Source organism: Homo sapiens, chromosome 9 (assembly GCF_000001405.40).
Source record: "Homo sapiens chromosome 9, GRCh38.p14 Primary Assembly".
Classification (NCBI taxonomy): Eukaryota; Metazoa; Chordata; class Mammalia; order Primates; family Hominidae; genus Homo; species Homo sapiens.
Window position 1 is genome coordinate 70,790,933 of NC_000009.12, and position 26,981 is coordinate 70,817,913.

A 26,981-nucleotide genomic window follows, 5' to 3' on the forward strand; every position below is an offset into this window, starting at 1 on the left:
GAAAGCTTTGAGCTATTGAGGAGCAGAGTGAGCCCAAGAAAACATCTAGGGGTGACATTTGAAAATAAATGCATCTCATTTTAACTAGAATGTCTCTTAGGTCTTCTATGGAGGCAGGTATTTTGGATATTGCCTTCACGTTATAGAGTTAGGATAAATTATTCAAGACAGCCTAACTATAACTGGAATGTGTCTGACCTTACTTGTAAATGGGTAATAAACTCAGATTTCTTTTATTGAAAATCCATGAGGTACCCAATTGGTGAATGCCAGACCCAATGCAAACCAATCCTGTACGCTATACATTTTTTTGCCATTATAATCTTGCACCTAAATTGATGCTCAGGAAAGCATTTGGAAATAGGAAGTACCACACAAGTTATTAAACAGTCGACACGCAACAAAATGTTTCACTTCTAAATACTTATGGTTCTCTAGACAGAAAGAAATTCCTTGAAAGATAGCTTGGGTCCTTCCCTGAGGTTGGAACTTCCCAAGGCATATGTTTCCAACCCACTTTGGGACTAAGCAAGGGTAAAAATAACATGAATTTCTTAAATGTCTTTTTCTCTTATTACCAGTTTCTATGGCAACTCCCTTACTGATAGTTAACTTAATGAACCCCCTCTATGTACAATCTTTTCATATTTAAAGCTAATAACAATACTCCAGAATAACATGCTTGTATCTTTTATCTTGGCATGTGAAATTTTAGCAAATTTGGCTGGAGATATGGGGATGTCAAGACACTGAAAATATAGAGTTTGGATTAATTAGAATGCCTCCCTCACACAGTGATAAAAAATTGAAAACTGATGGTGCATAGTGTATCTTTTCCTAGGGACTGAGAATGCAGAATATATTAAATTAATATGGCAAACTGTATTTTTTTCTGTTTGTTTTCAATACAGCTAAACAAATCTATTTTGTGCATTCTCAGTGCTCGAGGCATTTTCACAGCAATCCTGTATTAATGCCCATCGACTGGCCTTCTTTTGGGGCATTGCCTTCTTGCTTTGCTTTTCTATCTAGTAATCGGAGGACAAAGGACAGAAGCTGGGCAGTGGATGAGTAGATTGAATGGGAAATCCTTTAAGCTGGCCAAAGAGGTCACTGTGGCATGTGTACTGAAAACTCTCATGGTGTCCGCCCTATCCCCTCTCCCCTGTCAGAGAACAGACCCATCCACTGCATAGAAGGCGCAGCCCTGCTTGACTTTTTTCAAAGCTGGCTGGACTTACATGGATGTCAGACCTGCAGTGAGCCAGATTTGCTTTCCTGGGATTGAAGTGGAGATCCTGAGCCCAAGGCCAGTAACTGGGAGATGGGCTTCCAGGGCATGCATACTTGGGGAATGAAGCCTCTGTTAGTGGTGGTCCTCCAGACCAACCATGTGAGGAAGGTAAGCCAATGAACAAAAAAGCCATATGCAGGTAGAAAACAAAGGAGCAGAGGGTACCATGGAGGGGAGAGATCACATGGCCCCAGGAAGAGGGAAGGAAGTGGTATGGGGGAGGAAGGAGAGAGAGAGGGGAGAGAAAAGAGAAAGAATCTATGAAAGAGAGGGAAAAAGAGGGAGAGAGAGAGAATAAAAGAGAATGAAAGAAAGCAGAGAGAGGGCATCTGTGAAAGAGAGGAAGAGAGAATAAAAGAGGGACAGAGGAAGAGAGAAGGGAGGGGAAACAAAGGGAGACAGGAGAGAGAGAAAGAGGTGGAGAGACAGAAAGACAGAGAGAGAGAGAGAGAGAGAGAGAACTGATATAGCTGGGATTATTGGTAACTTTTCAGGCCTATTTATAGTCACTTGTCCATGGTTCCTGCAGAGAGTCCCCTATTCACCAGGGGTAGATAGTTTTTTGCGTAAAGGCTACATAGTAAATATTAATATTTTAGACATTGTAGGCCAAAGGGTAAAATAGAGAAAATTGTGCAGGTGCTTACATAATAAGAGAGAAAAAAATTCTACTCAATTTTGTATAATTAAAATTCAAAATACAACTGAATATATATATATGTTTTAAAATACAGGCTTACTAATAAAAATGGAATTTTTGTATAAATGCTGACGTTTGAATTTCATTTAGTTTTCATGCCACAAAATATTATTCTTTTATTTACAAACATTTAAAAATATAAAATAACTTCTTAGCCCATGAGCTAAATAAAAATAGGGTGGGCTATAATTTGCCAACTCTTCCTACAGACATGTTTCTGCCTCCTTATAAAGAATACCCATTTATGGTTGGGCACAATGGCTTATGCCGTAATCCCAGCTCTTTGGGAGACCGAGGCGGGAGGATCATTTGAGCCCAGGAATTCAGGATCAGCCTGGGAAATATAGCAAGAACCTGTCTCTACAAAAATATTTTTAAAAATTAGTGGGGTTTGATGCATGTGCCTGTAGTCCCAGCTACTCAGGACCCTGAGGTAGGAGAATCACTTGAGCCTGGGAAGTCGAGGCTGCAGTGAGCCCTGAGGGTGCCATTGCACCAAAGCCTCAGTGACAGAGTGAGGCTTTGTCTCAAAAAAAAAAAAAAATATATATATATATATATATATAAAACACATATGTATATGTATGCATATAAACACATATAAACATACATACATATATACATACATATATATACCCCTTTATGTACTTTGCATGAGATTATCATGATCAAACATTCCTCTTCCCGGCTGCCACTCTGCTTGCTCTAAGGCAGTCTTCACCTGTCTTTTATCCTGAAGGTCCACATGAGCTGTTTTGTAACTATGAAAACCTGGCAGGAAAAGAGTCAAGACAGTCCCTCACTTAGAATGATTCAACTTGCAATTTTTCAACTTTGCAGTGATGCAAAAGTGATACATATTTAGTAGAAATCATACTTCTAGTACTCATACCACCATTCGTCTTTCATTTTCAATAAATTACATGAAATATTCAACACTTTGTTATATAATAGACTTTGTGTTAGATGATTGTACCCATGTGTTGGCTCATGTAAACGCTCTGGGTACATTTAAGTAAGCTAGGCTGTGCTACGATGTTTGGCAAGTTGTGTATTAGCTGTGTTTTCAACTTAAAATCGTTTGATTGGACATAACCCCATCATAATTGGAGCAGCGTCTGTACTTGGACTTGAGGGTCCTTCATATGAGAATTTGGGATAGCAGATTTTTTTTTTTAAGTGGGACTTTAAGATGAACTATTCAGGTCAATGCTGAGTGCAGTCCCAATACCCTGTTTAGTGTCAGGAGGGGCTTCCTTTCCAGCATAACTCATGATCGTGTGGGAAGACTGTTTACTATATGGGAAGCTACTCTCCATCTCTCACGTAAAGAGAAAAGGAGTCACCTGTGTGGTTTATCAAGAAACTTCACCCTGATAATGAAGGGCTTAAATCAGGTCTTTCCAAAGGTCTAAGACCCAGGGCAGAGAGAGCAATCACTCCTCTCTGAATATCCCCAGCTTCTGGAGAGCAGCACCACCTTCTACATTCCAGTGAGGCTTGGCCTTTTGCCTGCTCCCTTCCTGGCAACATGGACCCCAAGACTTGCTTGATTGCAGTGGGCCTTCCTGAAGGGCTTTGCCCCTCACCACTCCCATCTCCATCCTGCACTCTGGAAGCCTTGGCTAGTCTCACTCTCTCGGAGGAGGCTTTTCCTTAGGCTTTGGGCTGCCTGTTTGCATCTGGGCAGAATCTTCTGTATTCTCATTCTCAGTTTCTGCTTTCTAGGTCCATGATTGTCTTTTTCCCCATGTGCCTGCTGGCTCCCGTCGACTCCCACTTTCCCTGATTCACTCTCAGCATGTGCTGCTCTATCTATTTTATCTCCCTGCTACTGTAAACCCCCACAGCCTTGCTGGACTTTACAAAGCTAACGACATATAAGCTGGAGCCATTCACATCCTAGAAGGGCAGAAATGCATCTTGACATATGTTGATACATAAAAAGTATACAGTTGGCCTTCTGCATCCGTGGGTTCTACATCTGTGGCCTCAACTAACAAAAGATCAAAAATATTCTGAAAAAAAATTATTCCTATACTGAATACATACAGACATTTTTCTTTGTCCTCATTCCCTAAACAATAAAGCGTAACGACTATTGATGTAGCATTTACATTATATTAGGTACCATAAGTAATCTAGGGGTTATTTAAGATATCTGGAAGGGTGTGCATAGCCTATATGAAAACACTATTTTATACAAGGGACTTGAGCATCCTCAGATTTTGGTATCTGTGGGAGATTTTGGAACCAATCCCCCATGGACATTGAGGGGTGTTTGCATATTGATATTCTATACAGCATTTAATACACAGAGTAGGTATATAATTCACAAAACTGTTTTGAATAATACATGAATTATTATTTATAAAGCACTTAGAGCCTGGCACTTAAGAGTTTTATGCTTAAACACAAATATAAAGATGCTTATTTATATCTATTAAGCTTATACAAAGTTTCTCGTTTGAATGTATAAATGATTCATGAAGAGAAAAGAAAAATGAATGCATTTTACACATTTAAACTGAAAGAAGGCTCTGGCAAACAAATAATTTGAAATAGCCCTCTCCAAAGTTTGAATACCCTCTTATGCAGACTGATAATATGCCAAATTATCCAATTCCCTTCTCGTGTGTCCAAAAGGCTAACTCTTCCTGCTTTGGGATAGGTGGCCTTTTGCATCACGCCCCGAACGTCTTCCCCCAGGGGCCTCTCCTTATTCATCAACCAGCTTGTTAAGTCTTTCGAGTTCTGTGGGTTGGAAGGAGATGTAAATGCTAAATAACAAAACCCATAAACCAACTCCAAGTGTATTATATACCCAGACGATAACTTAGCTTTTTACATAATCAATGGGAGCTGTTATTCCCTTGTGGCCAGATGGCTCTGATTGAAATATTCCGCTATTAATGTCAATACATTACCAGGACATCCAAGCAGCATTCCTCTGAATAATTTCAATAGAAAAAGGATGGCCAATCCCTTGGGCTGTAAGACAAGTATTATTTTCATAAAAGGGAAAAGCCAACATTATTTTCTTTGGAGCCATTGTTTGAAGGCTGAATCTTTTAATGTAATCGATCTAAGTCTACAAGAAAACTCTCCCAAACAAAGCTCTAGTCTTAGTCTCTGCTCTGTGCAAAACCCACATCAAAAGTCAGATGTTGCCTTCTCAGATGTAATCAGGGTGGTTTTAGCTCATTTTACTTTATAATACGCTACCCATGTTCCCCTGCAAATGTTCCAGGATCTAAGTCCATAGCCCATACAAGTTCCTTGGCTTCTTGACAAAATTAATAAGGAGCAAAGCAGCTAAGGGAATTATGGATCGGAAAATCACAGAAAAGACCTGGCCCATGTTTCAGGGACGAGCTAGGCAGGAAGGTGGATGGTTGCAGTGAGGGAAATGTTGCTGGTGGTATGCATGTTAATTTGCTTTTTTCAAATTATAAAAATAATTTTTGTCTTTGTACCTACTGAAAGAGACAGCAATTACTTCTACCTGTCCCAAATGCAAAAAGCTCCATTTTCTCTTCAAGGAATTTTGTTTTTGATGTTGTCTCTGCGAGGAACATATTCATCCTTCAGGTCCCAGGTTCAAAGACATTCTCATTGTGTGTTCTCATAGCATTTTCTTTTTAAAAGAAGCACATGCCAATGAACATCCTTTATAAATTTGTCAATCAACTATGATGGTATTAAAGAAAAACTTCTTATAGTGCCTTACATATAGCTTTTGAAGTTTTATCACATTAATTACATGAGTAATGACTTTTGATGTGGGTTTTGAACAGAGCAGAGATGTCTAGGCATCTCTTTTCTCTATTAGGTATTTATTTCTGTATTACCAACATATCATACAATGCTCTACATGTCGTAGTTGCTCTCTGACATTTGGGGTACAAAGGAAGGCAGGGGGCTGGGCATGGTGGCTCATGCCTGTAATCCCAGCACTTTGGGAGGCCTAGGCAGGAGGATCACTTGAGCCCAGGAGTTCAAGACCAGCCTGGAAAACATAGGGAGATCTTGTCTCTACAAAAAAATTTAAAAGTTAGCTGGGCATGGTGGTATATACCTTTAGTCCCAGCTACTTTGGAGGCTGAGGTGGGAGGATTGCTTGAGCCCAGGAGGTCGAGGCTGAAGTGAGCTGTGATTGTGCCACTGTGCTTCAGCCTGGGTGATAGAGTGAGATCTTGTCTCTTGAAAAAACAAAAAGGTAGATAGGTTAAATGACAACGTAATTATTTCCACGTAAATTTTAAAATTATTTATGATAGGAGTAATTTTCTCCTCATCAACTGACCTGAGATGCAAAGTAGACAGATGCAATTTAAATTCTCATGAAATCAGGAATTATACCAAATGCCCAGCGTCTGTGCTCATTGGTTTTCCTGTGGGCTACTGAGATTACTTCCTACCTGACTTCCCTAATATAATGATCTTCACTTAACTGCTAGCTGTCACTCACAATTACAGTCTTTCTGTAAAAATGTAGTGGGTTTTTAGGAAAGGCCCATTGTTTTTAGGAAAAGCCCACTCCTTTAGTGTGATATACAAGACTCTCCTTGTTCTGCACCCAACCTTCGTCTCCCCATCTCTTCCAGAGCTCTCTCTCTACCTGATCTGAGTCTCACCAGACTATCCTCACCATCTTCCATGCAGGATGATTTTTAAACTTTCCTTCAGCCACACCAATTTTCAGATGAGTATCTTTCCTCACTCCTGGTTTCAAGAGAAGGAATTTTTCCTATGCACACCCTTGGACGTTCTCTGCCCCTTTACTCACTTGGCCACCCGGTGAATTTGAAAAGACTAACGGTTTGCTCAGCTCTGCCTGGCTCTGCTTCTTCTTGGCATCTGCCTACTTTCAGAGAACCTGAGATCCCTCAGCTCCTCCAGGAACCCAGACCCTGAAGATGTGCAGTGAGGTGAGCAGGTGAAGACTCACCGTGGGATTCTGCCCAATTTTGGAGTGTCATTAAACCCACTTGGCCAATAAAACTAAAGTCCCATCTGTTCACTTGTCCACTATAAGTAATTTTCAGTCATATCTTGGGTTCCACCAAGTACTTCTTTTATTTCTCAAATTGGTCAGAACTTGGATGCAGAAAAGGAGTACTATTTCTTTCTTTCTTTATATCTTGAGATAGGGTCTCACTCCATCACCCAGGTTGGAGTGCAGTGGCATGATCTTGGCTCACTGCCGCCTCGACTTCCCAGGCTCAACCGATCCTCCAACATCAGCCTACAGAGTAGCTGAGACCACAGGCAGGCACCACCACACCCGGCTAATTTCTATATTTTGTGTAGAGACAGAGTTTCGCCATGTTGCCCAGGCTGGTCTAGAACTCCTGGGCTCAAGTGATCTGCCTGCCTTGACCTCTCAAAGTTTTGGGATTACAGGTGTGAACCACCATGCCTGGGCCCCTCGGGGTACTATTTACTTTAGCCCCTCAGAGACCCCTAAGTCAAACTTCATAGTTCAAATATTACCAGTTCCTGAGGCCCTTTTTAACTTCCTCAGCAAGTATTAATTATTCATTACTTTATGATCCCATTTTTTTAAAAGAATGTCTTTTGGTGATTATTGTATTCTGCCTTGCTTTAAGGAGAGCTTCTTCCACTTAACTGTAAGTAAGCTCATTCTGACAGACTCCCCAGCCCTCTCAGATAACATTCTGGTTCTTACAGTGCCTCACACTCAAAAGGTAGTTTAAATACATGCTTGTGAAGTAAAACAAAAATAAAAAGGTACAATGCTTAGGATCATACCTTAGGACTAGAAGAGCTAAAGGGACAGGAATAACGTGATAATCATTAAGGGGTTGCCTGTCATACCTCAACACTGTTGGAAGGTATCCTGCTGAAATGGAGATGACAGCCATTTGGGTGGCTTCATGGTGTCCTTTTACAGGCCTTAACTACGGGGCCTCAGCAGTGGTCAGAGACCTAGAGAAGAACATGCTGAGTGCCTTGGGTGGGTGTTTCCATTTCACCTGTCCATCTGGATTACATCTGAAAGAGCCCAGATTCTTAGGGACTCGAACAGCCAATTTCAGTTCAGCTGTCCTGCACTTTTAAATTGAAGCCTCAAATTGAAGCCTCATTGTTTCTCAGAATTGAACCCAGCTAAAGCGACAAAGTATCTCGGTCACCAGGGAGAAAACATTAACAAAGGTTTACATTCTTCCCCTTGCTGGAAGGATGTCTACAAAACTATTATTTCCTCCAGCGGAAATGAACAGGAACTATATGACTGAAATGGAAACCTAATTCTGTTCCCACTGAGGTGATTGGTATGTTTTCACAGCTCAAGTGCTGTAAGCTAGGGGTGACCTTCATTCACCACCAAGGTCATTAAAGTAACCATTATCATAGATGAGACAAAGGAAAGGCAATGATTATTCTGGATCTAGTAATGGTATTTCATCCAATTTCTGATCCACAGTTGGGAAAAGTGATAAATTGTTATTTGATTATCTGGACATCTTTTGAGAAAAATAACTTGTTAAGTCTAATCTGATCGAATCTTTCCTGTGACTAAATCCTCAGTGAGAAATATGGGTGACAACACTGTGGGGAACCTTCTTTCCTCTGGAAAAGGAGCTCCCTCCTTGTTTCCATGTGCAGGGAGCTCCATTAGAATGGCACATCTAGCCTCTTGTCTTTCCTTTACTTCTCTCCACATATAGAATTGAATAACCTGATAGTTGGTGACTATTGTGTTTCTTGATTGGATAGAGCTAATCCTGCAGTAATGGGAAAATTAGCTTATTTCTTCCTTTCCCTCCAGGGACCAGTGCCAGTCAGTCATCTTGGTAAAAAATGTCTGCTACAGACCCATCTTTCTTCTCTGGTGGGGTTTCTTGGAGCTGAGGCAGGCCAGCAAATCCATTTGACCCTCACACTAAGTCATTAACTCCAACAACTTCATCATTAATAAAAATGATATTTTGATCTCCACCTGCCTGACTCTCTAGCTCTCAGTCAATTTGAAGACTTGATACTTGATTGTATCCAGTCAAGAGTGGGATACAGTTTACTGGGTCTCTCCAAACTCCAATACCACGAACTGCAATACAGTCATTTCTGTTTCTGACATTTGCTTTGCAGCAGCATTGAACAAAGTTGAGCCTCTGGTTCAACACTGAACATGAACTATTTTTTTCAAGTACAAATATGACTTTCTCTGAAAGACAATTTTTTCTTGATGTCCTTAATACATGTCTTAGAAAGAAAAAACAACTGCAACATGGCAACATGTTAAAAAAGGTCATTACAAATGGAACTAAAACAAAGTTGCTTGTGAATTTCTGGGTTGTAGTGGATGATTTAATGTAATGAAGTCCACTGGGCCAGTTGAATGTAGATAGTTTATACCTGTCATCCCAGAGTAATTATTCTGGATGAATTAATATTATTCTCTCTCCCTAAGGGGAAGTAGCCATTGCTGAGCACCTGCCGGGTGTCAGGCACTCAGCCAGGTGGGTTGCATATCTTACTCAATCTGCTCAACAACCTTCTGATAGAGATATAGTTGACCCTTGAACAACATGGGTTTGAACTGCATGGGGCCACTTATATGTAGATTTTCTTCTACCTCTGCCACTTCATGAGACAGCAAGACCAACCCTCCTCTTCTTCTTTCTTCTCAGCCTACTCGGTATGAAGATGATGAGGATGAAGACCTTCATGATGACCCACTTCTACTTAGTGAATAGTAATATATTTTCTTTTCCTCTTCCTTATTATTTTCTTAATATGATTTCCTTTAGCTTACTTTATTGTAAGAATACAGTATATAATATACAAAATATGTGTTAATTGGTGGTTTATGTTATAGATAAGACTTCTGATCAACAGTAGGCTATCAATAGTATTTTTTTTTGAGAAGTCGAAAGTTACACACGAATTTTTGACTAACCCTCTAAGGGCAGCATTGTTCAAGGGTCAACTCTATGGTTATTTCCATTTTACAGTTAAGCAAACTGAGGCATAAAGGATAAATTGCAAAATTCACACAACTAGTAAGTGTCAGAAATGGGTTTCAAGCAAAGTCCTGTTAGGAAATCTACAGTCTGAATTCTTGGTGCTCTACTGAGTTGTCTCTCACTGAGGTGACCACAGAATTTATCATACAATTAGGACATACTTGCAAGTGAAGGGGTCATTATTAATAATTACTCTGGGATGAAAGGTATAAACTAGAGTTATTTGATCCTGAACAAATCAGTATATACAGTCACTCTACCTTGCTCATACCTTAGGGTCTCAAACTGGTTTCTGGTAGCTTTTAAATATAGATACAAATCTCAAATATTTAAAAAGGGACCTGAGTTTATTCATTGCTTCTTGTCTTTCTGGCTTAAAAGGGCCAAGGCTCACCGTTGCCCCTCCCTGGTTTCCTGGGATCAAGTTTCTCGCTCCGTCTAAATCACAGCTGTTCATTATCAGAGCTATTTCTTTCTCTAGCTACATGGAAATGAAGCTCCAGGGAAGGATTAGATCATTAAGCAAAGGAAAACAGCAGCAATACAGCAGCACCTGCATAAATCTTATAAGGGGAAAATATAAATTAATTCTTTTTTTCATGTTCTAGCATATCCTTGATGGTGCTGGAAATAAATCCCTTCTACTTTTCTCTCTTATAAATGAATGCCTCATCCAGAAATGAGATGATGAGGCATCAGGAGACAGTCATGGCCTAGAGACATGCAATGGGTGCTTTGGGTCCTTAATCACTCGAGTATTTAACCTCATATCCTACTTTGTCTTGTCTGTGAAACAGCTACTTGCTTCTTTCTACTGCTGCCACCAAGGATCTATTTGATTGCAACAATAAGGGCTAATACCATTACTGTAGAAAGTAGACTATCTTAATGTTATAAATAAGAAAGTGGCACTTTAAGGACTGCTCTTAAAACCCCGATTCTAATGTGCAAAAACTAATTCGTTCACTGAAAACTATCCCAAGAAGGGGTGTGTAGAAATCTCCACTTCAAATGTCTCTCAATTTTAGCATGCATCAGAATTCCCTGAAGGAGGAGCTATTAAAACACCCACACTGCTGGACCCCACCTCCAGAGCTTCTGATCAGCAGGTCTAGAATAAGACCTGAGAATGTACATTTCAAGGAAGTTTCCAAGTGATGCTATTGTTGCTGGTCCCAGGACCATACTTTGAGAACAGTGTCCTAGCGTAAAGCTGCAGGGAAAGGAGATTTTTGCCTGTGAAAAGAAGTGAAATCTAAAAAGTGCTTCCTGGAGCAAATTAATGCAAAAGTCCATGGAATGAGATTGAAATAACCATGAACAATATTTTTTCCAGAAGTCTATTTTAAAGTCTAAACCAGGCATCAGCAAATTTTTTTCTATAAAGGGTCAAATAGCAAATATTTTCTGTTTTCAGGCCAGATGGACTCTTGTAACTACTCAACTCTGTGGTTACAGTGTGAAAGCAGCCAGAGACATCACATAAAGAATGAGCATGACTATGTTGCAATAAACCTTTACTTACAAAAACAGATGATGGCACGCTGGATTTGGCCCACTAGTTGTAGTTTGTTCACCTCTGGGTTTAATGTGATAAATTACATAAGGAAACATATATTAGTCTGTTAAGTCTGAGTGTGCCTGTGATCAATGAGAAACTAACCAAGTTGGAAATCTGGCTGTATAAGCCAATTTTTGATGCCTATTTTGGTTGTACAGGATTGATACAATAAGCACTCTTATTATAGAGGCAAAGAGTGGGAGACATGCACCATTCTTGCAATTCAGTCCCTAAAACTAGCCGTTTGGGACTATTTGAAAACAAACATGCTACGATTCGACCCTATTTTAATAGGGATTTCACTGCACTAGTAAAATTTGCCTAGCTATATATTTAGTACATTTACTATTTGGTGCTTTGCCTAAAAGTAAAGAATATATTTTCTGTGTAGCAGGCTAATTTATTGAGCTGTTAATTAATTCAGGTTTTGTTTTCCATTTGTTTTTCCTTCTTCTCATTTCAAAAGAGGCCACTAGGGTGTCTATTCTCAGGAGAGGTTTGTGTTGCTGGCCAGAGCTGCTAGAAAACAGAACTTGCCTGGAGAAATTTTGTAAAAAAAAAAAAAAAAAAAAAAAAAACAAAGGCCCAACTCCACCAATTTTCTGAAGGGGAAGAAGAGAAGGGCAAGTGTCTTTGATGGGGGAGAAGTGGGAGCAGATGAGATGCGGAAGAAATGATCTGAGCCTTGGATGGGGGGCAAGAAGGGACTCGCAGCATCCTTGCATCCTTGACAGTCAGTCCCCAGGTCTCTTCCTACTTGGCCCGTCAGTAGCATTAGACACAGTTGACCATTTCATTCCTTCCTCTTGGAAATACACTCTTCACTTTGGCTTCCAGACAGTGTTGAAGGAAACCAGAATATTCCATTCTAAAATATGCCTCTTTGACATAAATATTTTTATGATACAATTTTTTAAAATTATAGAAAGGGCTGCCTGAGCTCCGCCCCCCACCGCCACCGTTTTTGTTGTTTTTTTTTTTTTTTTTTGAGACGGAGTCTCGCTCAGCCTGGGCTGGAGTGCAGTGGTGCGATCTCGGCTCACTGCAAGCTCCGCCTCCCAGGTTCATGCTTTTCTCCTGCCTCAGCCTCCAGAGTAGCTGGGACCACAGGCGCCCGCCACTACACCCGGCCAATTTTTTTTGTATTTTTAGCAAAGACGGGGTTTCACCGTGTTAGCCAGGATGGTCTCGATCTCCTGACCTCGTGATCAGTCCGTCTCGGCCTCCCAAAGTGCTGGGATTACAGGCATGAGCCACCACGCCCGGCCGAGCTCCCCTTTTTTACCTATAGCAAGCCACAACAATTCCTGGAGTGCTTCTGCCTTGCCTCTGTTTACCTAAAAGCAGAATTACGAAGACAAAAGGTCTTTCTACCCTCCTCACTCCCACCTCTCCCACCTGAAAATAAGATAGAAGTTCTCTTTGAACAGACCTTTATCACCTCAGAGAGGAGCTAGAGTGAGGAAGTCTTACTCCCCATCAATTTACCTTCCCACATTTTCCCACCTCTAGGAGACTAGGACTGCCTTCCTCTTTGCCTTGTCCCTTTCTCAAAATGTACTGTTCTGGCCAGGCATGGTGGCTCATGCCTGTAATCTCAGCACTTTGGGAGGCCGAGGCGGGTGGATCACTTGAGGCCACCAGTTCGAGATCAGCCTGACCAACATGGCAAAACCCTAGTTCTACAAAGAAAAAAAAATTAACTGGGCTTGGTGGCAGGCACCTGTAACCCCAGCTACTTGGGAGGCTGAGGCAGGAGAATCCCTTGAACTCAGGAGGCAGAGGTTGCACTGAGCCGAGATTGCACTACTGGGCAACAGAGCAAGACTCCATCTCAAAAACAAACAAAGAAACAAAACAAAACAAAACAAAACCCAAAAAACTACTGTTCTTTATTGGATATACTATGTAAGTAGACTTATAAACCACTGCTTTTGAACACATCCCTTGTGTGGTGTGCACTGCATGTGTTAATAAAGTTGTTTGTTTTTCTCTTTCTCTCATTAATTTCTTTTGTTATAGAGGTTTGTCTCAGCTACAAACTTACAAGGGTTAAAGAAAATTCTATTTTCTCCCCTTCAGTGCTCTCTCCCAGTTTCTCTGTTACCTCACTAGCTGCTCCTTCTTCCTCTTCTTTGCTATTTCCTCCTTACCTACCTGACGTCTGACACTAAGACTGTCCCAAAACTCAGTTCTTGGTTTCCTTTCCTCCCCTCCCCTTCCCTTCCCTTCTCTTCTCCCCTTGTCTTCCCCACGACTCTATTTGAAATTTCGGCTCCTACTCTGCACTCCCTTTCTGCCTTCTCTTCTTTCTATCTCTCCTTAGCCCTTACCACTATTCAATACACTATATATTTTACTTATTTTCTATCCCCTCCCCTGCAAATGCAAGCTCCGTAAAAGCAGGAATTATGCAGGCAACTTGTCTGACAGGGACTGCTGTGAAGTCCACCATGGCATGCTGAACCTGAAGCTGCTGAACTCTGCTGGCCAGTGATGCCAGCTGCAGCCAGGGTCCCACTGGTTTTACTTTAGCATGGGAGTACCAGAGCCACCCACTTTGCAGAGATCAAGCAAGCTTGGACAATTATTTTATCAGTGGTTACTTTGGCTGACAAAAGTTAAGAGGCTCTATCTTAACATTCCAAGTACTCTGTAAGCACGAGAGAAGGAGCATGATCATGAAAGAGAGGGAGAAGAGAGGCAGAGGAAGGAGGAGGGTGGGGTGAGAGAGAGACTGGGGTGGGGGAGGTGGTGGTGGGGGGAGACAGAGAGAGACAGAGAGACAGAGAGAGACAGAGAGACCTAATGAAGGTTAAGATTGACTTTACCTCACGAGGTCAGGAGATCGAGACCATCCTGGCTAACACGGTGAGACCCCATCTCTACTAAAAATACAAAAATTAGCCGGGCATAGTGGCGGGCGCCTGTAGTCCCAGCTACTCGGGAGGCTAAGGCAGGAGAATGGCGTGAACCCGGGAGGCGGAGCTTGCAGTGAGCCGAGATTGCGGCACTGCACTCCAACCTGGGCGACAGAGCCAGACTCCATCTCGAAAAAAAAAAAAAAAAAAAAAAAAAAAAGATTGACTTTACCACAAACCAGGTGGAAAGGGTCTTGGAATTGGGTTTATTTGAATAAAAGAAAATGTTTACCAAGTGACATTTCCTACATACCTAAGTTTATGAACAATAATTCATACACCCTATAAGAGTTCTTATTACTTGAATAATGAAAAAAATAAACAAAAGAAAACAAATCCTGCTTTACATGTGCAAAAATAGAATCTAAGAATGGAAATAGAAAGATGAAGTGAACTTTCTACTTCTCCCCAAACTCTTCATGCAGGCACACCATGTTTAATTGCTGCTTATTTCTCAGCCTCCCCCAGGATTTTATAATAAATTCTAACATGCACCAGAGTCAGTGTGCACTTCCTCTGTTCTCCCTTTGGGTGGAAGAAATGCTGCTAATGAGGAAGGGCTCAGCTCAGATTTGTTTGATGACCAGAAAAGCTGACTCTTCAATCTTCCTCCCTGTTTTAGCACAGGCACACCTGTTTTTTCACCCTGCCTCGTTCCAGCAGGAATTGCCCAGTACCCCATGTGAACCCAGCGACGCCAAGGCTCCTTAGCCAATGAGAGTTCTTCATTCTTCTGCCTGCGATTTAGGACTTGAATGTTTGCCTGCTGGGCTGCAGCACGTGAAACTCATTACGCAGCTTTGAAACCTGGCCTCCAACACAGAAGGAGAACAGCCTGTTCATGAGGAGAAGTGCTGTTTGTTTCAGCTATGGGTGCCAAAAAAGAAAAAAAAATCAACTGTTCCTTATTTGGCCATTTTAGGGCATAAAATCTCTGTTTTCCTCATTTGCCTCAGGGGCTCATGATCCTGAGCTGGGATCTTAAGGGGTTCAAGGTTAACAAGTTTTTGGCCGGGACGGTGGCTCACGCCTGTAATCCCAGCACTTTCGGAGGATGAGGCAGGTGGATCACAAGGTAAGGAGTTTGAGACCAGCCTGGCCAATATGGTGAAACCCAGTCTCTACTACAAATACAAGAATTAGCTGGGCTTGGTGGTGCACGCCTATAGCCCAGCTACTCGGGAGGCTGAGGCAGAAGAATCGCTGGAACACGGGAGGCGGGGGTTGCAGTGAGCTGAGATCATGCCACTGCACTCCAGCCTGGGTGACAGAGCTAGACTCCGTCTCAAAAATAAAATAAAATAAAATAAAATAAAATAAAAAGAAAAAAGTTTTTATTCTGTTAACAGCTATGACAACTTTATTAGTGACATCTGGGAGCACTATTTATAGTCATTTCCCAAGACTATATGAATGATTCTTCAGTTTTACATCCATTAGTTTCAATGACTTGACATGATCTAAATAATAATTTGAAGAGACAAATAATTATAAATCCTAAGAAGGGACTTTGAAGGGTCCTATGATAAAGTCCCTGGTTTTAAGATGATTATCTCAAGCAAATTAAAATCTCAGCTCACTTTTCTTTAAGATCCCCAGGGAATGAGACACCTTATCTTCCCTAAATATATCTCACTATAAAACTGTTGATCATGGCAGAAAACTGCTCGGTCAGCATAAGTTTTCCCATTAATTTTATGTGTGTCTAACTTTCTAAAGTTAGCCATGCACTTCTACTAAATGGAATGATCCTGATCTGGACTGAAAAGCAACCATGGGCAATTATCATTTTGAATAAATGGAGGAAAATCAATAGTTATTTCTTTTTCCATGGAAATGGAAATACTGAGGCCACGGTGCACTGGCTGCTGTAAAATATGTATCATTAGACTCTCTAAATTCATAAGATATAAATGATTTACAACAATCATAATTCAACAGGAACACAGTCAACTTTCTCAGACTAAATGCTTTTATGCCCATGAATTGGAAGTATGCATGATGGTCTTTGCTTGTACATGTTGCTATTTATTTATCCTGAGTCTTTCTATGTCATTATTGCTTTATGATTTGTCCTTTTTTATAGCTTTTTAGTATCTAGTCGCTTCTATTACATCTTTGTGTCAGGTTGAAAATCAGAGCTAAAAATAAAGCCAGGGAAATCAAACAGTGATGCTTATAATAACAAGTTATTGAGCACCTACTTGCATAGGCTAGGCACTATGCAAGGTTTTCAGAATGACCACAATGAATAAGACACAGGCTGTGCTCTATAGGATCTCACAATCTACAGAAGATGAGAGACTGTGAAGGCAGATGGGAGACTATGAAGGCTCCATTCTACCAAAAGGAGCTGTATGTGGGAGAGGCTGATATAGAGCACAGCAAGAGCATGGAGGATGAGGTGAATGTGGGCCCAGGAGGATACCAGGGTATGAGCTGGAGGGAATACTAGGGATGGGAGTTGTGGTAAGATTACAGAGAGGAGAAGATTTTTAATCTGAGACTTGAAGGAATTTAGGTTTTGGCCAGGTAGTTAGAGTGAGAAGAGAATGAAATTTTAGTAAATGTCAGAAAGAGACAAAACCACATCCAGTAGGGTATATCATTTAAGGGAAACTGTAAGTATCTTGAAATGGATGGGACATACGATCTACATGGTGTTATGTTAGGAGAAGCTATAAAAACAGATGAAAAATATGAAAGGTAGTTAGCAATGAAATAAGGAAGATATTGGGTTCCATCAAGATAACAGGTTCCTATGTTATGCTAGGAACCTATTGTATCTGACCAACAACAGTAAACATTGCTGACTTTGAGACCAAAATGCCAGTCAAACATTGGCAACCCAAATCTTTCTAATCTGAAAAGGGAGCTCAAAATTCTTCCCTGAATGTAAAAGTGTCTAAGAAGTCTTAGAATGGTGGACAGCTCTCCTGTTGGGACCTACTTGTTTACAAGAACTATCCCAGTCCCTGAACAACTAATTCCAATGTAGAAAAGTCTCTTTGCTGAAAAAAGGGAGGTCTTTAGCTTGAATAGGAAAATGGGTGAGATAAACATGACAAGTCAATACCAAGAAACCAGTTTCGCTAAAATTTGCTCTGTTCCCTCAAAGTTATTTTTTTGGCTTCATTATTACCTTTATTGACAAAGTAACTTTTCATTAACAAGCATGACAAATATTTCAGTTACACAGCCAACTGTGTCAAGTCGTTTCATATAATGAAAAAGCAGGGATATAGATTGTGTTGTTTATTCCTCACAAATTATTCTTTAGAGGGAAGACCCTCTAAAAGGCGGAGAAAGCTTTAAACATGTTTACTTGACAGCACCTGAAAAATGATGTCATTACAGTCTAAAGTGAACTGATCATCAATTTGGTATTTGTGTTTTGGAAGGCCTTTCCCTTGACTGTTTGAGGCAGTAGAAAGTTTGCATGATTGGGCTGAACAGATTGTAGCACCCACAGAAGGAAATAAGATGTTCTTGATATACAGTCATGTGTTGCATAATGACACTTTGGTCAATGACAGACCACAAATACAATGGTGGTCCCATAAGGTAGTAATAGAGCTGAAAAAGTCCTATCACCTAGTGACATCTTGATGATTCTGACCCTGTGCAGGCCTAGTTTAATGAGTGTGTTTGTGTCTTCATTTTTAAGAAAAAAGTTTAAAAAATACAAAGATAAAAAATTTTAAAGACAGAAAAAAGCTCATAGAATAAGCAAATGAAGAAAATATTTTTGTATAGCTGCATAATGTGCTTATGTTTTAAGCTAAGTATTATTGCAAAATAGTCTAAAAGTTTTAAAACGTTAAAAAGTTTACAAAGTAAAAAAGTTACAGTCAGCTAAGGTTAATTTAGTTTTGAAGAAATAAAATTTAAAAAATAAATTTAGTATAGCCTAATTATACAGTGTTTATAAAGTTTACAGTAGTATACAAAAATATTCTAGCACTCACTCAGTGACTCACCCAGAGCAACTTCCAGTCCTGCAAGCACCATTCATGGTAAGTGCCCTATTAAGGTGTACTATTTGTATCTTTTATACTATGTTTTTATTGTGTCTTTTCTATGTTTAGATACACAAATACTTACCATCGTGTTACAGTTGCCTACAGTATTCACTACCACATAGTAACATGCTATACAGGTTTGTAGCCTACAAGCAATAGGCTATACTATATAGCCTAGGTGTGTAGTAGGTTATACCTTCTAGGTTTGTATAAGTACACTCTATGATGTTCATGACAAAATCACCTAATGATTCATTTCTGAGGATATAGTAACCCCATCGTTAAGCAATGCATGACAGTATATGTAACCTGTCCAGGGGAATCTTTGCTTCCTTTTCAAGTCACATGGTTTGGACCCAGAACTATTAGTCTTTGAGAGTATATTTCACTCCTTCCTAATTCCAGAGCTGCTTGGATGAAGTTCTACTATGACCTTTAACATACAGTGTTTTTCATCTCTCTTATGGGACAGTTATGGGCCCAATGATGGAAAATTTCATGTCATGGTTATCCCAATGCATTTGATGATGGTGCAATGATCAAAAAAGATGCCAGTGATGACAATTGAACGTCCCTTTGCCTTCCCAGCCTCCTTCATATATTCTCAGGCATAGGATGACAAAGGGAAGTCCACGAGTCACATGAAGAAAGACTGTAGCCATGGGTACGCGATCAGGAAGTCCTCTGCTTGCCTCCACCCCCACCCTCCTTTCCATCACCCTGTCCTATGGGTACATGATCAGGAGGTCCTCTGCTTGCCTCCACCCCCACCCTCCTCTCCATCACCCTGTCCTATGGGTACATGATCAGGAGGTCCTCTGCTTGCCTCCACCCTCACCCTCCTCTCCATCACCCTGTCCTGTGGGTAAATGATCAGGAGGCCCTCTGCTTGCCTCCAACCCCACCCTCCTCTCCATCACCCTGTCCTATGGATACACGATCAGGAGGTCCTCTTCTTGCCTCCAACCCCACCCTCCTCTCCATCGCCCTGTTCTATGGGTACATGATCAGGAGGTCCTCTGCTTGCCTCCATCCCCACGCTCCTCTCCAGCACCCTGTTGTATTTCTTCCTAATATTGTTTCTCCACCATCTTGCAACTAACCACCATCTTCTTCCCAAAGTTTTGCTTGATGACTCATTCCAACTGAATCAATGCTCAACCTATATTTGGCACAGAGTTGGTGCTCAAATAGTTGCTGAATGGAATAATGACCCTCAAACTCTCCAAGGTAACCAAACTTTAGGGGAGCCTTTTTAAAAAAATGAGATAATGCTTCCATGTGTAGGATGAAAGGAGAAAGTATTTTGGAATTATGTCAGCCTAGGTTTGCACCCAGCTGTGCCACTAATTGGATTTAAGGCAAAGGCTTAACCTCTTGGAGGTGCCATTTCATCAACTGTATAAAAGGAAGAAAATAATCCCTATCTTGAAGGGTTTTTGTGAGTATTAAAAGAGATAGTATATATGAAAATGCCTAGCATGGTGCTTGGAACCTAAATAAATGCTCATTCCCTCCTAGTAGTATCCCAATAGTGCCGTCAAGCTGTCCTATATGGTATCTTTAGGATGATAAATAATAGGGAGTAACTAATTTCTGATGTGGTTGAATGTCAGAAGAGATAGAGATAAAACAACAGTCATAGGGAGTGATACTGTTAGGAAATTATAAAGGAAATGAAGACTTCTGTGGTTAATTTCTTGGAGTTTAAGAAGAAATTCACATTTTCCATTAATTATACTTACCAACTGAGTCTAACTGGCAACTACCCCAAAATGAATAAAACAAGCGGGAGTCAAGAGAGAAAAACGGCAGGCATCCTGTCAAAAAATAAAATCTTTGAAATTTCTACACCCTGTGGTTGCATACACATTTTATTAAAGCAGATGGATTACCCAATTTACATAAATTTATATACGTGATGGCAACTCAAGTTGCACAGTGAAACCTATGTAGAGCATCATCCAGCCCTTCTGCACCAGCTATATCTTGTCTTATCACTCCTTCAACTGGACAGGTCCTTAAAAATCATAGCTCTTTGCTGGAGGAAGTATCATTCTTTATTCTCTTCCAGCCTAGATAGCTTCTGTGGTGTGGAAAGGGTCAAATGAGTTAATATCTGTTAAGTGCTTGTACTGATGCTTAGAACTTAGTAAAACCTCAAGAAATCTTAGTTGTTGTTATATTAATTATAATGATAATTATGAATCTTCCAATTCTGTGTTTTCCAGGAGACGATAGGAATTGAATTCTTTCCTTCCCTCCTTTTAATAACATTTTCCTGATTTCTAGAGAAATAAGTGTTCTAGTTTCAAGTGTTTAGCTACTTTTGACTTAAAAGAACTATCCATTTAGAGGCTAATCTACCCAGTTTCTTTTCTTTTCTTTTTAAAAGAGGAATTGAAACAAAGCTAACATGTTACTCAACATGCATAATATTATTAATTGGACTGATTCCTCTTTCTCTCTCTGGCCAAGGTATAGATATAAATATATCTACATCTATGACTATGTCTACATATCTTCCAAAAAAGTCATCAAAACCATTTCAGTATAATTGGCAGGTTTCCTACCAATTTGGTTATTGTTTCCCAAACTAGGAGATAAACTTAATGGTAATATCATATTTCTGGAGTTGCTAAGCAAGCTAGCCTTTGGTCAGATGGTCTCAGAGGAGGACCCCATGAGTATGAACAGCTCTGCTCTGCCTTCATTTTGTTCCTTCCTTAGAGACAGCATTAAGGGAAGATCCCAAATCCTCAAGTTAGATCTCTAGACCCTAGCTTCCTAGGATCAAGCTAGACTTTGAGAGCAGCCTCACTTGTGGCAAATATTGGGAAGTAGGAGTTTGGCAGCTGGTAGCTGGCTGGTGAGAGGCATGTAGGAACTCACCCACTTTTCATGAAACATCAACATCACTTGGTTATATGTCAGCACCCATACCCTGGCAAAGCTGCCTTCTCATAAGAATGTACTCACTGGGGAAAATGCAAAGCAATATCACTTGAAGCACAGCCTCTAAGGGTTGGTTCCTCTGGATTCTCAATAGTTTGTAAAATGGCCAACCAAGAGCAACTACTGTACATTTTCCAGAGAGTTCCTAATTAATGTGTTTCTGAGGACATAAATTCGGCTTTTAAGCACATACTCCCCAGGCCATTCTAGCACTGTGTATGGCAATTAGACTGCTGGCTTAATACTATCAGCAAAGTTTCAAATAGACAACACCACAAACCCTCCTGGAAATTTAGCACAAGCACTTGTTAATGGAACCAAGCACAACATTGGCTTAGCTATGTCTTTCCTGCAGAGTGAATGGCATGCTGGTATTTTCAGCTTCTTTTTCCCCCATTTATCAAACTCTAATGAAAAAAAATTAAGTAATACTTTAGTGAAGGTCAAGTGGGGTGAGATTAGTGGTACTATGGTTAAAAATGGAAATCTCTGGATAGCAGGTATGTGTTATGTCCGCAAATTGTCTCAATATTTTCTTAATTACCTTTCAGGACACAATAGAAAAAAATGGTCTTAAGGGGGAAAATTAGGAATAAAAAGTGAAACTAAGGTAGTGACACAAGGCTGGGCAAAGAAGAGCAGACAAGGAGTTTAGAGTTCAGGTTCAGATAAAAGCTCTACCAAGGTAATTCACGTAATGAATTTAGTCAGAACACGTGACTGTGATTTTTTTTACAAGTGGCTTTCCTATCTGCAAGATGAAAGCAATGCGCTAAGTGATGCTCATTGTCTGAATTCCTGTAGCACTTTATATTACTAAAGGGCACTTAACATCTACTGCTTTGTACTATTCACAATAGCAAAGACATGGAATCAACCCGGGTGCTCATCAGTGGTGGATTGGATAAAGAAAATGTGATACATATACACCAGGGAATACTATGCAGCCATAAAAAAGAATAAAATCATTATGTCCTCTGTAGCAACATGGATATAGTTGAAGTTGGAGTCATTATCCTAGGCAAATTAACATAAAAACAGAAAACCAAATATCACAAATTCTCACTTATAAGTGGGGGCTAAATCTTGGGTGCATACAAACATAAAGACAGAAATAATAGACACTAGGGACTCCAAAAGGAGGCAGGGGCTGAAAATCTTCCTATTGAGTACTGTGTTCATTATCTGGGGTGATGGGATCAATAGAAGCCCAAACCTCAGCATCATGCAATATACGCTTGTAACAAAACTGTACCTGCACCTCCCGAAACTAAAATAAAAATTAGAGAAAAAAAACACTTGCTGCTTTATAATGCAGCTCTTTGCATACAGAGAGGCTGTAGAGCACAGTGGTTGAGGCATGGGCTAAGAGGCATACTTCTTGAGCGTGCTATTTACTAGCAGTCTGACCTTGTGCCTCTTTGTGCTTCATTTTGTTTCTGGTAAATGGGAGTAATAAAGGTATCCCCTTAAGGGTTGTCATAAGAACTAAATCAGTTATTTCTTGTAAATTGTTTACAATAGCACTCAATCAACACTAGTTGTTATTAACTTATTTGTAAGACTAAGCTCTTCAAGTATACAGCTATACCTTATTTATCTTGCTACCCCTACAGTGCCTTGAGCATTACAGATGCACCAGCAAATACAGTAGAGAAAGCGCTTAATAAAAAGTACTGTCAAGAGAAGATATAACAGAGAGCAGTCACAATTTATTTTAAATAACAGATATTTTGAGTTCTTATTTTTGCCACATCTTAAAAAGCTGAAGAAGTTTGACATGTGTTTAGCTTCCACATGAGGTGTCTTAGAAGTTCAGTGGGGTGGAGTACAGAGAGAAGCACGTTTTTCATGGTGAGCACACAGACAATATTGACCGTGAAACCAGCGGTATATGAGCTGCACCATAACGGGTTGTAGGACACTGGGGAAAGGGAGCTGGACTTTGGGGTGCCTAGGAACATGATGAAGGAGCACGATGGACAATTTTAGCTCCACTAGATTGTTCTCATGATATGGATGTAAACATGGGACATTTTCAGTATCTCCAATATAATAGTATATCTGGCTACAGCTAAGAATTGGGAATACACCTAGGCTTTTAGTCATTCACCAACCCTAAAGGGGTAAAATAATTTTGATTCTGATTTCAGCCATTATAAAATGTAAGCATCAAATGTATTACATTGGTCTCATCAGTTTTATACACATCCTTTATATGTGATTTGAAAATACTGTTCTCTCTAATGTCCTTAACCAGCCTCTCTTATGTTTCCTGACCTGACTCTTTCCTTTTGTTTTAAAAGGAGAAGCGGATTGCCAGAAGTAAGCAAGAGAAAAGAAGGTATGTCAAACACAGCTGTGGGGGCACTTGACCCACAGGTCAAGAATGATATCCATACCCTTGAGGGAGAAAGGCACCCAACTCCTAGGCCCTGTGAATAGACTACTTTCAAAGGTTTTCTTCCCTTCCCTCTCTCCCTTCCTGCTTCCCTCCCTCTTTCCCTCCCTCTTTCCCTCCCCCTCCCTTCCTTTCCTTTTCTTTCTTTTTTCGTTATAAAAGCAATATTTTCTCATTGTAAAAAACAACATCAAGCAATTTTTAAAGGTATAAAGTGAAAAGTGTCACTCCCTGTATTTTTTCTCCCACCTCAAGTCTCACTCCCTGGAAACTGTAACTAATCAATGTTCACCTGTGTCCTTTCAGGTATTTTTATAAGTATATATATGTAATTTTAAGAAAATATAATATGATTATACTGAACATACAGTTGTACTATGTACAACTTTTAACTTGAGAAAAGAACAAACATACCCTTGAATATCTTTTATGTGAGCCCAACAGCGGTATTACATTATTCACAATGATTTCAGAATATTTCACTATATATTGACATATAATTTGTTTAGTTGCTTACTGATGAATCTTTAGGCTATTTCCATTTTATTACTGTAAACAATATTGTGGTAAATATATGTAAAATGAATTCCTAGAAGTAAAATTATGGGGCTAAAGGGTACATATATTTCATATTTAATAGGGGCAGCCAAATTGTCTTCCAAATAAGACTGCGCTATTTATGCACCCACAATAAATGTGTAAGTACATATTTCTATATATACATAATGACACTCAATATTTTTAATCTTTGGCTTTTGCCAATTTGATAGGTTAAAAAATTGTTTTAATTTTCATTTATTCAATTATGAATGAGGTTGAGCACTTGTATTTTCTTTCCTATGATCTTCCTGCGGATAGATTTTGCTCACTTTCCTATAAGGATTTTAATATTTTTCTTTTTGATTTGTAGATACTCGGCATATTATGGAAATTAGCTCTTTGTCATTGTTGTGAATATTTTCTTTGCATTGCCACTTGTCTTTTGCATTTGTTCACTGTATTTTCTAATAGGGTTTTTTAACAGTTAGTTTATTTTTCTATGGAAGCTTAGCTTGTGTGAATGAAAAAGTTACAATAGCTATGAGTTTGATATTATGAAATGATGGAGGAAAAAGATGTTAAGCCAGAAGCTGAGCCAAGAAATTGTTTTACAAGAGTACAGCGAGAGAAAAGTCAAGGTTTATTTTCAAAGTGCTTGCTTGTGGTTTCACTAAATCTGTAAGACAACAGATACTCCTAGGCTTTGTTCACTTAACAAGATGGAAAGGAAATCTCAGCTGTCTATAGAGCTACCATTTAGGTTTCATTGAATAATGCAAACTAGAATTATATGAAAAAAACTAACTAGAGTTGGATTCTCTGTATCTTGATCTCTAAAACAAAGTGACCCAGTTCACTATTTATTGAGAGAACTCTAGCTAGTAATTATCTTTTCATAATTGCCATCAGCAAACACATCCAATTATATATTTACTGGCATTCCAAAGGCGTCAAGAGCCCTTCAGGACTGTCTGTATCTTGCCAAATCATTAGTTATCACTTAGGTGTTATTAAAGTATAAGAATGTCAAGTTAGATAATTGGTGTAAGAATCCTTTAAATCCCTCACAAACCCATCTGCTCATCAGAGCCTCCTAAAATGTTTCAACAGAGTCAGAGGATGGCTGCTTTTATTCCCTGAGACAGGTCTCTTGTTCTTTTCCCCCAAGAGGGCCAAGGCCCAGTTATAACCTTTTTTTTCCAGGATAGATTTGAGAGGCTGGCCAACCTCCATTCTACCACCTGCTGCCAAGATTACTGGCATGTGTAGATGACATTAGAATTATCTTCCAGGATTCATCTTAGAAGCATTAACATCAAAAGTACAGTGTCATAGAAACACTTCTATTTATTTTTAATATTTTGGAACTTAAAATGTTACGAAATGATGTGTAACAAAATATGTGGTAAAGGATCCATTAGAGAATGCACATGCATTAATGCATGGTGCTGCATATGCGATTATTATTTTGAGGCTAAGGGGATCTGTTTAGGTTTGTTAACTTAAAAAGTTAACTAAACCAGGATGGTCTAAAATAATCCATATCTTTTTAGGCAGTTTGTCTTAATCTGATTTCCACAGCTAGTGCAAGACTTATCACTAAGAAGCTCACAGGTAAAGAGCAAAAGGGCAAGATATGACTTGCAGCTGCAGGAGCTATTTATGAGTGAGGTTCTTCAATGAGCACGTTAGAATACACAGACATATCTTATTTATGAGTGGCAGATAAATTTTATCTCATGTGCCAACTCCAGCCAACTCTTAATGACCATCTGTCTCTCAATATCTAGTCTTCCTTTCCTTCATACTGATAGGATTTTAGCTGGCTATGCATTTGTCCAGGATAAAGACTACATATTTCTAATCACCTTTTAGTAAGGTGTTAGCATGTGACAAAATACTGACACATAAGATGTGAGCTAAAATGGTGTGTGTGACTTCCTCACTGTGCCTTCGAAAGGAAGGGCAGGGCCTCCCCTTGCTCTTTTTTCCTGATTGCTTCTGGCCAGAATGTAGATGTGACAGTGGGCTCTCATGGACCATGCAAACAGGAATGCCAGAGCAAAGGAGATGAAATGAGTCCTCACAGGAGTGAGGCACCCACATCAGAGCTGAACTCATGTTCAGAGTAACATATGAATAGGAAAAATTCCTGTCTCATTGAAGCATCTATTATTTTGAGTCATTGTTACTGAGGCAGAACCTGTGTCCTAACTAAGGCTTTATGGTTATAAGGTGTATCGAGATTCAGCGGGGAAAGTGTCATGCTAGGTTGGCAGTGTTGGGTAAGAGACCGGAAGATCTCCTGCCAATCTAATCTCTTACTACATGAATACACAAGTTACTCCAAAATGGAAAACTCCCCAGAAGAAATTCTCATTAGAAACTCATACCTAACTTTTGTCATCTTCCTATCTCTCTGTGCTACTACAGACCACCCAGTCTTGGCCTCTCTTTATTTAGTATAAATGCAAATAAATGAGACTTATCTAACCATCATAATAAGAATAAAAATAAATATGTCATATTTATTATATATTGTTTATTCATATATATAATCTTTAAAAAAAGCTTCCCAGGAAACTACATGTTT

At 39.7% G+C, this 26,981-nt stretch overlaps 1 protein-coding gene and 1 non-coding gene across 24 annotated transcripts in view; both read right to left on the reverse strand.

The window, feature by feature from the left end:
- TRPM3 (transient receptor potential cation channel subfamily M member 3) overlaps positions 1-26,981 on the reverse strand; it is a 917,912-nt gene that overhangs the window by 261,873 nt on the left and 629,058 nt on the right. For 6 of the 23 annotated variants that reach the window (NM_001366148.2, NM_001366152.2, NM_001366147.2 and 3 more), the window contains exon 7: positions 20,238-20,312. The exons of the other annotated variants lie outside the window; for them this stretch is intronic. In NM_001366148.2, the coding sequence (NP_001353077.1) occupies positions 20,238-20,312 (75 nt within the window). The remainder of the gene's footprint in view (positions 1-20,237; positions 20,313-26,981) is intronic. 23 annotated transcript variants of the gene reach the window in all.
- Positions 19,043-19,152, reverse strand: MIR204 (microRNA 204). The gene has a single exon (NR_029621.1). It is a non-coding gene; the product is annotated as a microRNA 204 (primary transcript).